The 16,518-nt window shown below is 34.7% G+C and overlaps 1 protein-coding gene across 2 annotated transcripts in view; it reads left to right on the forward strand.

Annotated features, from left to right (window-relative positions):
• PLPPR1 (phospholipid phosphatase related 1) overlaps positions 1–16,518 on the forward strand; it is a 296,409-nt gene that overhangs the window by 145,968 nt on the left and 133,923 nt on the right. The window contains exons 1-2 of one of the 2 annotated variants that reach the window (NM_017753.3): positions 10,341–10,561; positions 10,756–10,863. In NM_017753.3, the coding sequence (NP_060223.2) occupies positions 10,801–10,863 (63 nt within the window). In that variant the 5' untranslated portion in view covers positions 10,341–10,561; positions 10,756–10,800. Of the gene's footprint in view, positions 1–10,340; positions 10,562–10,755; positions 10,864–16,518 lie in introns of those variants that run through there. The other variant, NM_207299.2, reaches the window with a different exon arrangement.

The raw sequence follows: 16,518 nt of genomic DNA on the forward strand, positions 1-16,518 counted from the left end.
ATGATTATATTTCTCATAAACAAGAGGAAAGAAATTATGTAGAAAATTCCATGGGAGCACGTGAGGTAGCATTGAATCTTTTACTGAAATTCATATTCCAATGAAGTCTGATTCATAATATATTTACCTCCTAGAAATGAAGAGCTTTATTTGAATTAATTAGCAAGAAACATCAGTGACTGTCAATATTGATTTTTTCTTTGCTTTAAGTTCCTATCTGATGTGGAAATAACCAATTCTGTAATTCTTATCCTTGAAGTATTCTAATTACGAGAGTTTGTGCATAATGAGCTTCAAGTACATAAACAAATTTTGGTAGCATCTATAGCTCTTCCTAGAACTTCATACATTAGACCTGGCATTGTTTTTAGAGTTTTAAAACATGTTAGGCTGATTCTTATCTTTGGAAACCTTTGCTCCTGCTGTTCCTTTTAGCTGAAATGCTTCTCTCTCTCATGTCTGATAGGGGAACACCAACACTATTTTAATCAACTTAGACAAGCTATCTCCTCTAACAAACCTTTACTTATGTTTATTCCAACTAGGGCTGCATTATTATTTCATGGGCCCTAAGCAGTTTTGTGGACACCTTTCTTCATGAAAAAATTAAAATTTGTATTTTACAATTGAATTGGCATAAAACTGAATATATTAATATTATATATTGAAAACATTTTTGTCTACCTAAAAGTTAACTTTTCTTCTGATTTTAAAATAAAATAAAACATTTTTGTAGACTGCTAAAAAGTGGGTCCTAGGCACTGTCTACTGTGCCTAAAAGATAACACATCTCTGACCACAAGGGTTAGAATTGATCATTCTTTGGCGCCACCATTATTTCTTTTGCATATAAGTGCCTATGATACATTGTTATATTTGTTTATATATTTTTCAGTCTCTTCTTGATATCTGTTAGCCCATAGAATACAGGGTATTTGACTAGCTTATTGCTTCTAGTCATGCCTAATGGGATACCTGGCATAATTTAAGAATAAGTGAATGAATAAATTATATGGCTTGTTATGGTATTTTGAAACCTTTGTCACCAAGAAACTCAAATTCATGAGAACACAGCAAGGCTGGGCTAAATGAGAATCTTGGTGGCTGCCATATGTGGTACTTCTTCAAAAAGAGTTGTGATGACTTTTGCTTTGAGAAGATGAAGTAAGACATACTTTTCCCTATTCCTTTCACTAAGTACAACTAGAAAGCTTGGATGCTTTATATAAAAGAAAAGAAGACTCAAGAGAGAGAAAAGCCAGACTGGCTAAGGACTTCACAACACAAGGAACAACATAGTAGTGACTTCTCAGGATTTTCTTTTGCCTCAGGTGTCTCAGACCTGATATTGGAGAAGCTGGCAACCACAAATGCCAATAGGAGCGGACAAATAATGACCCAAGGAAAGCCTGCTTGTTCTAGCCAAAGGGCCTGGAAAAGGGTAGCCGGACAAGCCAGACAACTTTTAGATAATAACCTCTTGACCCTAGTCAAACACCACAGAAAAAACTGAGGCCCCACCTCCACCTACTAGAAAGATTGAATTAAGTGCTTAGATATCCACCCTGGCCAGGAGGTAAGGAGGGTCCCAAAACTCTTGCTGGGTTCAGGACAGAGGCCAAGTGGGGAGCCAGGACTTTATTTCTTGATGAGCAATGAGTATCTTCCCTTCCATGGTGTTAAGAGAGAATATGTGGGGAGCCAGGATTCCTACTCCAACAGGCAGTAATGAGGCACTCCTACGCGTTCCTCACTGGGATGGTATCAGAGGAAGCCTAATGTGAAGTTAGAAATTTTACGACAAATAACAATGCCACCTTCTTGCAGTATCTGTGGAGGCCACCTAGGGGCAGTAATGAGGTACCTCTGTCTCCACCAGGGTGGTATCAGTGGAGGCCTAGTGGGAGTGCTGGACTCCACCTCTGTTAAGCAATAACAAGGGGCCCCTCTCTACCCATGTATAATAGGAGGCCAAGTGGAGAACCTAGACTTCACCTTCACATGGCAGTTACAAAGTGACATTCCGCCTCTACCCACTTGAGCAGCGTCAGGGGAGTTACAGTACAGCACAAGATCAAAAGAAAATTTTGAGCCTTATAATATCCTAAGGTTTTAATAATCACTTTTCATACCAAGAATCAAAAAGATCTCAAACTAATTATGAAAACACAATCAAAAGACACCAATGACAGGATAACATAGATGTTAAAATCCTGAAAAGGATCATAGAACAGCCATCATGCAAATGCTTCAGTGGAAAATTACAAATATCTTTGAAACAAATGAAAAAATAGTCTCAGCAAAGAAAGTAAGTTTTAATTACTGTAACTTTGTAATATATTTTGAAATCAGAAAGTATGATGCCTCCAGCTTTGTTCTTTTGCTCAAGATTGCTTTGGCGATTTGGGTCCTTTTTCCATGGGAATTTTAGGATTTTTTTTCTATTTCTGTGAAAAATGCCACTTGAATTTTGATAGGAATCACATTAAATCTGTAGATCACTTTGTATAGTCTGGACATTTTACCAATACTAATTATTCCAATCCATGAACATGGGATGCCTTTTCTTTTTTGGTGTCTTCTTCAATGTCTTTCATCAACATGTACTGTTTTCAGTGCAGATATTTTACCTCTTTAAATTTATTCCTAAGTATTGTATTCTTTTTCAATGCTATTGTGAATTGACTCATTTTCATAATTTCTTTTTCAGACAGTTCATTGTTAGTGTATAGAAACAAAACTGATGTATGTTTTGTATGGTAAGAGTTTTACTAAGGGTGTTTGTTGTTTTTGTTTGTTGTGGTGAAAGGAATGAGAATCTTCCACCATACTAGGTTTTACTGAATCATTCTTCAAAATAGTTGTTCCAAATAGCACTTCTTTCAGCTGTGTAGAAGAGCATTTGCTGCTCCATATGGCCAACCTTTGATGCTATCAGAGTTTTACCTTCTTCCAATTTCATGGATGTGAAACAAAAAATATTATTTTAGTTTTTATAACCTATTAATGAGGTTGTAAATATTTTCATGTTAGTCATCCATATTTCTTCTTTAAATTGACTATACCCATTTTTTCTATTAGGTTGTATAATTTATATAATTTCTATTAAGTTGTTAGTCTTTTCTGATAATTCCCAATATTAATTTTATTTTGACATTGATTTGTATTTTTTACATCATAAATTGCTTTCAAAAATCTGGATTGGTATAATAATAGTAAGGTAATCAGTATCTGAATTAAATGATCTTTGAAATTAAAGTTTAACAAGGAAAGTCTCTGAGTAAAAATGGCTAACTAGTAAAATGTAAATATAAAAGACATCACTAATGTGGAGGGACCTGAGTGGCCAAACACTGTGAAGTTATTTGTATCCCATATGAGTGCTTACCAATGGGTCACCTCAGCAGAGGAGGATTTTAATGATCAAGTGGATAGAATGACCTATGACCTGTGGATACCACTCAGCCTCTTTCCCCAGCCACCCATGTCATTGCCCAATGGGCCCATGGACAAAGTGGCCATGGTGGCAAGGATAGAGGTTACACGTGGGCTCAGCATCATGGACTTCCACTCACCAAGGCTGACCTGGCTACTGCCACTGCTGAGTGCCCAATTTGCCAGCAGCAGAGACCAACACTGAGCCCTAGATATGGCATCATTCCTTGGGGTGGCAGGTTGATTATATTGGACCTCTTCCATCATGGAAAGAGCAGAGGTTTGTCCTCACTGGAGTAGACACTTACTCCAGATATGGGTTTGCCTATCCTTCACGCAATGCTTCTGGCAAGACTATCATCTGTGAACGTATGGAATGCCTTATCCACCATCATGGTATTCCACACAGCATTGCCTCTGAACAAGGCACTCATTTTGTGGCTAAAGAAGTGCAGCAGTGGGCTCATGCTCATGGAATTCACTGGTCTTACCATGTACCCTATCATCCTGAAGCAGCTAGAATGATAGAATGGTGGAATGGCCTTTGGAAGTCACAATTACAATGCCAACTTGGTGACAATACTTTGCAGGGCTGGGGCAGAGTTCGCCAGAAGGCCATGTATGCTCCGAATCAGTGTCCAATATACAGTACTGTTTCTCCCATAGCCAGGATTCATGAGTCCAGGAATCAAGGAATGGAAGTGGAAGTGGCACCACTCACCATCACCCCTAGTGATCCACTAGCAAAATTTTTGCTTCCTGTTCCTGCGACATTATGTTCTGCTGGCCTAGAGGTCTTAGTTCCAGAGGGAGGAACACTGTCACCAGGAGATACAACAATGATTCCATTAAACTGAAAGTTAAGAGTGCCACCTGGAAACTTTGGGCTTCTCCTACCTTTAAGTCAATGGGCTAAGAAGGGAGTGACAGTATTGGCTGGGATAATAGACCTGGACTGTCAAGATGAAATCAGTCTACTACTCTACAACTTAGGTAAGGAAGAGTATGCATGGAATCTATTAGGAGATCCATTAGGGCGTTGCTTAGTATTACCATGCCTTGTGATTAAGGTCAATGGGAAACTACAACAGCCTAATCCAGGCAGGACTACAAATGGCCCAGACCCTTCAGGAATGAAGGTTTGGGTCACACCATCAGGAAAAAAAGCACAACCTGCTGAGTTGCTTGCTGAAGGCAAAGGGAATATAGAATGGGTAGTAGAAGAAGTTAATCACCAATACCAGCTATGACCACTTGACCAGCTGCAGGAATGAGGACTGTAATTGTCCTAAGTATTTCCTCCTTCTTTTGTTAAAAACATGTTTGTGCACGTATACACTTGTACTAAGAAAATATCTTCATTTTATTTCCTTTATCATGTGACATAAGATTTATTGACTTCATATCAGCATTTAAGTATTGTTAACTTTATGTATTTGGGTTGGGGATTGGTACATTTCCAGTTGTATGAAGGGTAGTTGTATTACATTAGACATAATTATGACCTTATTACTGTCTTTATTTGAAGATTATGCATAATCTCAGAAGATGTGCATGGGTTCAAGTTGACAAGGGGTAGACTTGTGATGGTTAATACTGAGTGTCAACTTGATTGGATGGAAGGATGCAAAGTATTAATCCTGAGTGTGTCTGTGAAGGCATTGCCAAAGGATATTAACATTTGAGTCAGTGGGCTGGGGAAGGCAAACCCACCTTAATCTGGATGGGCACCATCTAATCAGCTGCCAGAGAATATAAAGCAGGCAGAAAAACTTGAAAAGGTTAGACTGGCCTAGCTTCCCAACCTATATATTTCTCCCATGCTGGATGCTTCCTGCCTTCAAACATCAGACTCCAAGTTCTTCAGTTTTGGAACTCAGACTGGCTCTCGTTGCTCCTCAGCCTGCAGATGGCCTATTGTGGGACCATGTGACTGTGTGAGTTAATACTTAATAAACTCTCCTTTATATATATATATATATATATATATATATATATATATATATATATATATACACACACACACACACACATACACACACACACAGACACACACATATATACACATACACACACATATATATACACATACACACACACATACATTCCATTAATTCTGATTGATTATGTCCCTCTGGAAAACCCTGATTAATACAATTAAGAAATTAAAAGAAATGTCCATACTACCCAAAGAGGTCTATAGATTCAATGAAATCCCTACCAAAATTCCAATGTAATTTTTCACAGAAATAAAAACAATTCTAAAATTTGTATGGAACCACAAAAGATCTCAAACAGTCAAAGGAATAGAGAAAAAAAAGAATAAAACGGAATGCATTACACTACCTAACTTAAAAATCTATAAGCTATAATGAACGAAAACAACATGGTCCTGGCATTAAAAACAGACATTTTGACCAATAGAACAGTATAGACAGCCCAGAAATAAGCCCATATATTTGTGGTCAATTGATTTTCAACAGAGGTGCCAAGAAAGCACTAGTGGAGAAAGAATAGTCTCTTCAATAAATGGTGTTGGGAAAACTGGATCTACACAAGCAGAAGAACAAAATTGGACTCTTATTCCACACCATAAACAAAAATTAACTCAAAGTGGATTACGTACTTAAACATGAGACCCGAAACTGTAAAACTACAAGAAGAAAACAAGAGAAATGCTTCACAATATTGGACTGGACAAAGACGATTTTAGATATGACCCCAAAAGCACAAGCACAAGCAAAATATAAACAAACGGGATTACACCAAACAAAAAAGCTCTGCACAGCAAATGAAACAGTAGAGTTAAGAGACAACCTACAGATCAGGAGAAAATATTTTCAAACATACATCTGATGAGGGGCTAATATTTAAAATATATGAAGAACTCAAACAACTCAATAGCAATAAAACAACCCAATCTAAACATGGTCAAAGAATCTTTGTAGACACTTCTCAAAAGAGGACATACAAATGGCCAACAGATATATATTAGATATATTATATATCTAATATATATTAGATATGTAATATATATCTAATATATATATTTATAAATTTATATATATTATATGTATATATATATTCTCATCACTGATGATCAGGGAAATACAAATTAAAACCACAATGAGGTATTACTTCATACCTGTTAGAATGGCTATTATAAAAAAGATGAAAGATAGTAAGTGTTGACGATGGTGTGGAGAAAAAAAAATGCTTGTGCACTGTTGAATGGGAATGTAAATTAATATATCCATTCTGGAAAACAGTATGGAGGCTCCTCAGAAAACTAAGTATATAATTTATCATATTATCCAGTAATCCCACTTCTGAGTGTGTATCCAAAGGAATTGAAATCAGTATGCCAAAAATATTTATGCGTTCTCATGTTCATTGCAGCATTATTCACAACAGCCAAGATATTAAAACTACCTAGGTGTCAATTATCAATGAATGGATAAAGAAATTGGGTATATGTATGTGTGTGTGTGTGTGTGTGTGTGTATGTGTATGTATATACATGTATGTATGTATATGTATATATATGTATATACACACACACATACATATATACACACACCAAATTACTATTTGGGGGTGTGTGTGTGTATATATACACACACACAACACACATACATATATACACACACATACCTAATACACCAGATTTTCTTCATTCATTAATAATTGACACCTAGGTAGTATATATATAGTGTGCATGTGTGTATATATATATATACACACACATATATATACACACATACTTATATACACATATATATAGTGTGTATGTGTATATATATATACACACACATACATACATAAACCAAATTTTGTTTATCCATTCATTGATAATTGACACCTAGGTAGTATATATATAGTATAGTGTTACTATACTATTTGGTGAACATATATATGTAGTATTGTAATGGAATACTATTTAGCCTTAAAAAGGGGGAAATAACATGGATGAACCTGGAGCACATCATGCTAAGTAAAATAAGCTAGGAACAGAAAGACAAATACCGTATGATTTCACTTACATGTGGAATCTAAAAAAGTTGAAATCATAGAAATAGTGAGTAGAATGATGGTTACCAGTGGCTGGAAGAGGGGGATGGATGGAGAAAGGGAAGATGTTGATCAAAGGGTGTAAAGTTTCAGATAGACAGGAGGCATAAGCTTTAATGATCTGTTGTGCAGAATGGTGATTATAATGATATATATTTCAAAATTCCTATAAAATTAGATTTTAAATGTTTTGGTAGTAAAAATAAGTACCTGAGGTGATACATTTGTTAATTATGCTGATTTAATCATTTCATATTATAAAAATCAAAGCACCACATTATACCTCATAAATATATATAACTATTATTTGTCAATTAAAGAAAAGTGGGAGACAGCTAATGGGAACAGGGCTTGCTTTTGGGGTGAAAAAATATTTTGGAACTTGGTGGTTGTTGCATAATACTGTGAAGGTACTCAATGTCACTGAATTGTATTCTTTAAGATGGTTAACTTTGTATTGTGTGAATTTCACCTCAATCAATGAAAAAGATGGAAAAAATAAAATTAAAACGTAAGCAAAAGACTGGAAGAAAATATTGAAAATATGTATCTGATAAAGATTTGTATATAGACTGTACAAAAAACCTTTACACCTTGAAAATAATAAGACGAACAACCCAACCACAAAAGGTATTTGAATAGACACTTCACAAAAGAATATATAAAAATGGCTAATAAGCACATGGAAAGATGCTCAACATAATTTTTTATTAGCAAAATGAAAATTAAAACCACAATGAGATATCATTTCACGCCCAGTAGAATAGCTATAATAAAAAAGATAAACAATAAAAATGTCAATGACAGTGTGGAGAAATGGGAACTCTCATACATTGCTGGTGGGAATGTAAAATGATATAGCTACTTTGGAAAACGTTTTAGTAGTGCTGTTAAAAAATTAAACATAATTTAACGTATGACCCAGCAACTCTCTTAGGTGTCTAATATCCATGAGAAATGAAAATATAAATCCACACAAAGAATTGCACACAGATGTTATTAGCATGGTTTTCCATAATATTGAATACAACCAAATACTGGATATAGCCAAAAATTCAAAACAATCTAAATGTCTACCAACTGGTAAAAGTGCAATAGCCATACAATGGAATATTATTCGGCAGTTAAAAGGAAAAAAATTACTGAATGTGCAACAACATGAATGAATCTCAAAAATATGCTACGTGAAGAAATGCAGAAATAAGAGGTCGTGTATTATATTATTCTATTCATTTAAAATATCCAGAAAAGGCAAATCTGTAGAGTCAGAAAGCAGATTACCTGGCTTTGGGATATGGTGAAGGAGTTGATGGTGGGAATTAACAGTAAATAGACATGATAATTCTTTTAGGGGTGATTAAAAAGTTCTAAAACTATCTTATGGGAAAGTTGCACAATTTGGTAAATTTATTTAAAATATTGAATTGTACACTTAAAATGAGTGAATTGGTATATATAAAATATACCTCACTGTAGTTACTCCCGTCTCTTTGTGTGTGTGTGTGTGTGTGTGTGTGTGTGTGTGTAGCCATATACATATAAAAAGCTTGGTTGCATTTTGGACCAGAAAAATGAAAATAGAGGGGAATTTTGTATCCTAAAGCTTGTCTTATATTCTCCACTTTATTGTTATTCTTTATTAATTACATGGAGAAGCCATCTAAAACACTAGGTGTTTGATGCCTTTGCTTTTTCTCGTGCCTCTGCCTTCTTGAACATGATTAATATTTAATTTTCTTTTCAGATATACAACACTGTATTTGGCTGATGCTAACAGGAAAGTTCATTTATATCATAAATACTAAGTAAATTCTAAGATATTTGGGTTAAGTAAGGGCAAAATTAAAATGGTTGTCCATTTTAAAATGATGGTTATCCAATCAATTCAATGTGTTTTCTACATATAGATTCCTTTCTTATTGTAGAAAATAACATCCTAAAATATAATGGTGAAATAACACATGTAGTATGGGTATGATTTTATAACAGAAAATATCCAATTTTAATTGAAAAAAATTAAGTTGCCTAAAACTTAAATACTGTGGTTGGTATGGATTTATAAAGCACATAATATTAAATTTGATCAGAGAAACTTTTAATTGACAAGTGAGGAGTTGATATCTCAAAAGGGAAGGATATGTATTTTAAAGTTTCATTCTGGAAAAGGGCAGAAAGAAACTTAGGAAGGATAGAAATGAAGACATTAAAATTAATGTCTGACCTTTTAAAAAGTACAGCTGGCCATTCAAATAGACTGGTACTTCCTATGTTACCTTTCATACTGTAATCAAAATCTACAAGAACTGTTGGTAGGGATGACAGAGAAACAGAACAAATGAAAAATAATGACTTTAAGAGCAGATATCTGAAATGTGTAGTATTGCTTTGGCTAGAGAATAAAAAATGTACTGGATTTTTAAAACTCTGGACTGGAAATTTCATTAAAGCTTAAAATCTTTACTTCATTGTATTAAGAAGAATCAAAACTAACTAATCTCCTAATACAATTATATTTTCAGTTCAAGGCAGGGAAGATGTGTTCTAATAAAATATTTAATGACAATCTGCTATTGCCCAGCTACTCCATTCTTGTAAGCTAAGTGAATGTCTTATAAGTTAAATGAAATGTGTTATGCCTTTACTGTTTTATGTTTGGGTCACACACAGGGCTGAGGGGAACCAGTGAAACAGATCGGTGACATATTAACCTGAAGTTGTTCATGGCTGTGTATTCAAGAGAGCAAGGACAAATAATGGTCAAGGAAGGAAGTCAGGGATTGGTGGCTCTGTACTAAGTGTCAGCTTCAAAGGGAGAGACCAGAGCATAAACAGACAATTCTCTAGGTTGCAAATTGGGAGGATTAGGAACAAGTAAGAGAGATCCATGCAGGATGGACAAGAAAAAAAAGTTTTATACCAAAAATTGTATTTCATGGCATTAGGGCAGTCTACTGGGGTAAGGCACTATGCAGTACTAGGCAATTAGAATTCTATTCACTAGCTATGTGCACAAGCGGCTCCTGACCTGGTCATTTTGGCTGTAAAACTATTCATGGCAAGTATATATTATTTGCTTTTTATTGGAATGATTATTAGTCTGACTTGACTGTGTTGTAGATCACTGTATTGCTTTTGCACACAGCCTGCTTATCTAGAAAGCTGATATCTAGTAGCTGATATTTTTATGTAAGTACCTAAGGGACTTCTCAATATATGGTTCTTATACTATGCAACCTATTTCTATTTCAGCCTGGACAGTTTTTGACGGTGCAGTCTTGCTATATGGTGTGAGAAATGGCTGTAGGAAACAACACTCAACGAAGTTATTCCATCATCCCGTGTTTTATATTTGTTGAGGTATGTGTATTTTTTAACCTTTATGGACAAATTGAAATAAAAGTAACAGTTTTTATTCTGATAACTTAGATTATTTTATAAAATTAATTTTATGATTGGTAAGTCAATTTTGATAGCACAAATATTGGTAAAGATTAATAAACTATGCAAAGTGTTTCTTAAATAGGAAGTCATAGAGTAAGAATTTTTTAAACTTCACCTTTGGATATATAATATATCCAAATTAATATATCCAAGAAATATAATAAAATGAATATTGTGTTTTATTATATTTCTTCTATTTTCGACAATGATGTGAATGTTAACTATGAAAGAGAATGAAGCATTTTAATTAATTTTTTTATTAAAAAATCAATATCCTGTTTCAGGAAGTCAATAATCCATGCATTTTACAGATGATATTAGTTCATGGTCTTTTGCCTTGGAACCCAAATAAAGAAAAATAATCTTAGAGTTTACTATCTCCTCTGGACATTTTAGTAGAGTATTGGGAGCTTGTGCAATGTATGATTTCTTTTGTCCTGAATTACTTTGTTCAGTTGCTCCAACTTTGTACTAGCAGTTTTTCCAGCACCTTTTTGGTTAAATTTCCTGAACTCCTTTTGTACTCTACCTCTGTTTCTATGTTTGCTATAGAGGAGACAAAGACATGAATTTTTTAGGAAATTCGGAAAAAAACTGCTTTCTAGGTTATCTCAAAATAAGATGTTGATTTGCCAGAGATGTTATTGTATCTGCCTTATCAAGAAAATAGGGCGTCTAGTGGATCGGTTTTTTTTTAGCCTAAAGATCAGACCTAAAATATGACAGTGTAAAGAGCTGAAAAGTAAGTATCCTGAACTTCTGTCTGGGTAACTGAAGGATAGTCTCCACATCCCAGGGGTGAGCTGTAGCATATTCTTTCTTACGGCATCTTTTAGGCTGACTGTGGGAGAAATGTGTGTTGATCTACTTTATTATCCATATAAAAACAAAGTTGGGTTAAACTACTACTCATATTAGCAAAAATGTACTTTCAGTACATCTGTTGTTTATACAAATCCTGTGAAACACTTAGACAAGAACTTTTATGTTCTCCAACTTGAAATAACTTTACCTGCCTATATAGTCAGATAATTTTGAGCATTCTGATTTTTGATCAGATATATGGGTGTTTGGCTGATCATTGAGTTTCACCTTATAGACATTGCTTGGTACTTTTAGATGAACAAATATTTCATAACTTATTTTCTGGTGATATTTGATAATCTGTTCATATTGCAGAACCAGGTAAAGATAGGAGAGAAGGTTGGAACAGAGATGTTAATATAAGCGAAGTTACATATAGACTCAATTTAAGCTAAATATCTGAATGGGTAAACAAAGAACTCATCATTCAACAAGAAACACATATTCTTAATATTTTGCATTTAACTTGCTATACGATGCCAAAATAACTCCATTCAGACAATAGTGATAATTATACATATTGTGGGTTCTGGTTACGATTCTTCTTATTAATATTGTGGTGAAGGGAAAAAATCATTTTTCCTGCTGCTTATGCGAAAAAGTTAGAAGGTAAAATAACAGTACCTTTTTCAGTGTTTGCTTTCTCTTTTGTTATATGAAAAATAATTTTTTAAGTAGGCTGCGGGAAGTTAGGGAATAAGTCATCCATCATCATCTTTATCCTCCCTGCAGCAATTTTATTTTATATTTTCTTAAAAATCAAGGAGGAAGCAACCCTCAAAGTGAGATGTTTAATTTATTGCTGGAAGCTGTAGTCTCCGAAGATTTTCAGCTCTCTAATGTGTGAATGAAGAGCTTGGCCGGTGGAGCAGCAACAAAGGAGATAAATTAGTTCTTCTGTAGCTTACCCTGACACAAACATAAATAGAAGTCTAAAAATCTGGGAGAGGAAAGATGGTTTATTCTTTTTCTTGTTGTATTGTTGTTCTTATTTTGCATGGAAATTCTCTTAGAACTGTCTTAGAAATAGGCAGGCAAAAGGGAAGGGAAGTAGGACACAGAAGACATTGAGTGGGAAGGAGGTGAATCTCAAAGTGGCTCTCATGATTCTCATGTATTTCATTCACCAAACACTTATTGTTTACCTATATTATTCCAGGTACTATAACAAGGATATCACAAAACTTGGTAAAAAATGTCAACTTGACCAATGAATATCTTTTCACTGTTTTTTTAATTATGAAAGAATTTAATCACAGAAAATAACTGACATCCCTGCACCTACCATCAAGACAAAATCTTAAAGTTTTGTCATATTTGCTTCAAATATTTTTGTCAAGGAAAATAAAATGTTACAGATATGGCCAAAATCCTATTGTCCTGAAGCCAGAAGTCATTATATGTATGAAGTTTGGGGCTTCTTTTCCCTACATGTTTCCCATGCATGGTTTATATTTTCCTACATATGTATATATTCATAAATATTTTAGGAAAATTTTACATAAATGACACTATGCTGAACCTTTCTTTTGCAACTTGCCTTTTCATTCAACATTATGTTTCTGAGATTTATCCAGATGGGCAGTCCATTCGTTTTAATTGTTGCAATTTATCCTATTGTGCAAATATACCTACTGAGGGACAGTTTGTTTATGCGTTTGTTTGCTTAATATGCTTTTTCACTGTCATAAATGTTTTTGCAGAAAATATTCTTATTTTTGTCTCTTTGTGCATATATGCAAGAGCTCTCTTAGTTTGACACATAGCAGAATTGCTAGGGGATAATTACATTTGCCAGTTGTTTTCTGCTGCATTATAGAAGCAACCTTGATATTTGTATATCAATTTCTTTGAAGAAATTTTAAAAACCTCTATTATTAATTTTATGAGTATGTCATATATTCTGTAGTTTTTTTTCAGACAATTACATCATCTATAAGTGGCAGCAGATTTATTTCTTCTTTTCCAATTGTCATGTTTTTTACTTTTTTGCCTTGTCTTATTGCTTTGGTTAAGAACTCCCCTGTAACGTTGGATAGAGGCAGTGGTAGAAAACATCTTTGCCTTGTTGCCGACTTTAAAGAAAATATTTCAAGTGTTTTACTATTGAATTATGAATAAACGTGGATTTTTACTTTTTTCTTGCTCCCTACCATCATCTACTTTGGATTACTTAATTTGGTTTAATCCCCTATTTCCTTCCTTTATTGGTTAAAAATTATATTTCTTTTTTTAAATTACTTTAAAATTTTAAATATACATATTTGACAACACAAACTGAAGTTCATCAATAGCTCCATGATTCTCTTAAACAATCAATGACCATTCTTTGGCTACTTCGAGCTCTTATATGTCATCCTTCATTTTTATATTTTCCTTAAAATTTTCACCTTTTTTTCAGTTGGGCTTCTTTGAATTTACCTGTATTCATCAGTTTCTTTGCTTACTATTCCTCTCCTACTGTAATTTGCTCATGAAGTTTATCCTTTAGCAATCCTTTCAGCAAGAGTCTAGTACTGTTGATGAAGAGATTCCAATTCTGAAGAGATTTATTGTGAGCTAAATATGAGTGACCACGCCCTGTGACACAGCCTGCAGGAGACCCTCAGAACATGTGCTCAAAGTGGTCAGGGTGAAGCTTGGTTTCATACATTTTAGGGAAATATGAGACATCAATCAAATACATTTAAGATATACATTGGTTTGATCCAGAAAGTGGAACAATCTGAAGGGGAGAGCTTTCAGGTTATAGGTAGATTTAAAAATTTTCTGATTGGCAATTTGTTGAAAGAGTCATTATCAATAGAAAGGAATGTCCGGTTTGATAAGAGGTTATGGAGACCAAAATTTTATCATACAGATGAAGCCTCCAGGTAGCAGGCTCCAGAGAGAATAGACTGTAAATGTTTCTTATCACACTTAAAGTCTGTGTAGATGGTAAACGCTGGTCAACTTTTCCTGAATTCCAAAAGGGAGGAGGGTATAATGAGGCATGTCTGACCCTCCAACTTTGTCATGAGTTGGGGGGTTAAATCCTCCACCTCTTTTGGTGCTCTGAAATTTCAATATAATATGTCTAAGTGTGAATTTATACTAGCTAGGACTTATTGTGTATCCTGAATATTAAGTCATGTTTGTCACTAATTCTGTAAAACTCTCAACCATTGCTGCTTCAAATATCTTTTCTGCAACATCTATGTGTATCTTCTCATTCTTTCACTCCATCTCTTAGCCCATCTCGTTGCTGCTTTTTAATTTCCAGAAATTCTGTGTGTTTTTAAAATTATTTTTATAGTGTCATTTTCTGTGCTTATGGTTTTAGTTTGTCTTTAATTATATCAAATGCAATTATGTATTTTCAGATTGTCCTATTATCTGAAAATATTGGCACTCTGATCCTCCTGTTGGTTGTGTCTGCTTTCTTTAGCTCATGGTGGACTGTTTCCTTATATTTGTGGTTTTTGTTTAGCTCCAGTTTAGCCGAGCTTACTTCTTCTGTAAGGTTCATGTAGACCTTAGGTGTTGAGAGTATCACTTTGGAGGAATTTTGCATAAATGTTTGTTGCCCTTGGGTTTAATTTCTATATTCAGCAACCAAACTTGTAAAGTCTCAAACGTATCGTCAAAGTTGATCTTTCCTTGTAGTCTTCCTATACCAACAGGTGGATTATATAGAACACTTTCAGTTTACCTGTGAATTGAAAGGGAAGGTGAGAGGGATAACCATTGTTTGTAGGTATTTGCAGTGGAATGTTTTCATGCCATTTTTGTTTCATGAATACATTCATTCATTCATTCCACAAACACTTATTCAGTAACTACATTTTTCCCCAAGGCATTATGTCTTTTGCCATTTTGGATACTTTACATAGTAACTATCCTTCTGTAACTTGGATCTCACTAAGTTCTTCATAGAGCCGGGACTGTTGGGCCATGCTTGAAATGTGTGTGACAGATCCAGGGTGGTAATGAGACATATAAGCTGCTCATAGTGGAATGCTGATGTGCATTTTCTTGGTGATTTTAATTGTATGAGCAGAGTTTTGACTTGGGGATGTTTTGTTTATTTGTGGCAGTTGGTGGGGAGAACAGATGCCAACCAGCCTCTACAATTCAAAGTTGCTGATGACTGAGGAGCCTGCCTGGGACTCACCCAGAAGGCTGAAATAGTGGTAGAGAAGCTGCCTGACAATACAGCAGGCAACATAAAAGGTCTTATGGGGACCACAAGTCAGGAGCAGCATTGCCCCTGGTAATCCTTGAATTTCTTATAGACCAAAAGGAAAAGTTAAGATGCCACTGGAGAGAGAACAAAGTTTGTAGATTACAAGAGCACCTACAGGGAAAAGCTGAAAGGGAGAGGATTAACAGTGGGAGGAAAGCAGAATGGATCAAGAAGTATATGTAATGGACATGGCAGGCAGTTCTGAAAACCAAATCCTTGAATGACAGACATTCAGAAAAATTTCTCTTTTGTACATCTCCCAGTCTCAGCTGATCTTGAATTGTAGCTTGTAGTCCTGGCCAGATCCCTTAAAAATAGGATAGTGATTTTAAAAGCCAGGATATAAACTTTTCTATCACTTTTCAGACAGAATCGCTAAAATTTCAAGGTAGTCCACAATGATATTTCTGGCTGACAGGTCATAGCTCTTTACTGCTCTGGTTCTACCAGAGCAAGCTGAAACAATGCTGAGCCAGACAAAA

Source organism: Homo sapiens, chromosome 9, assembly GCF_000001405.40.
Source record: "Homo sapiens chromosome 9, GRCh38.p14 Primary Assembly".
Classification (NCBI taxonomy): Eukaryota; Metazoa; Chordata; class Mammalia; order Primates; family Hominidae; genus Homo; species Homo sapiens.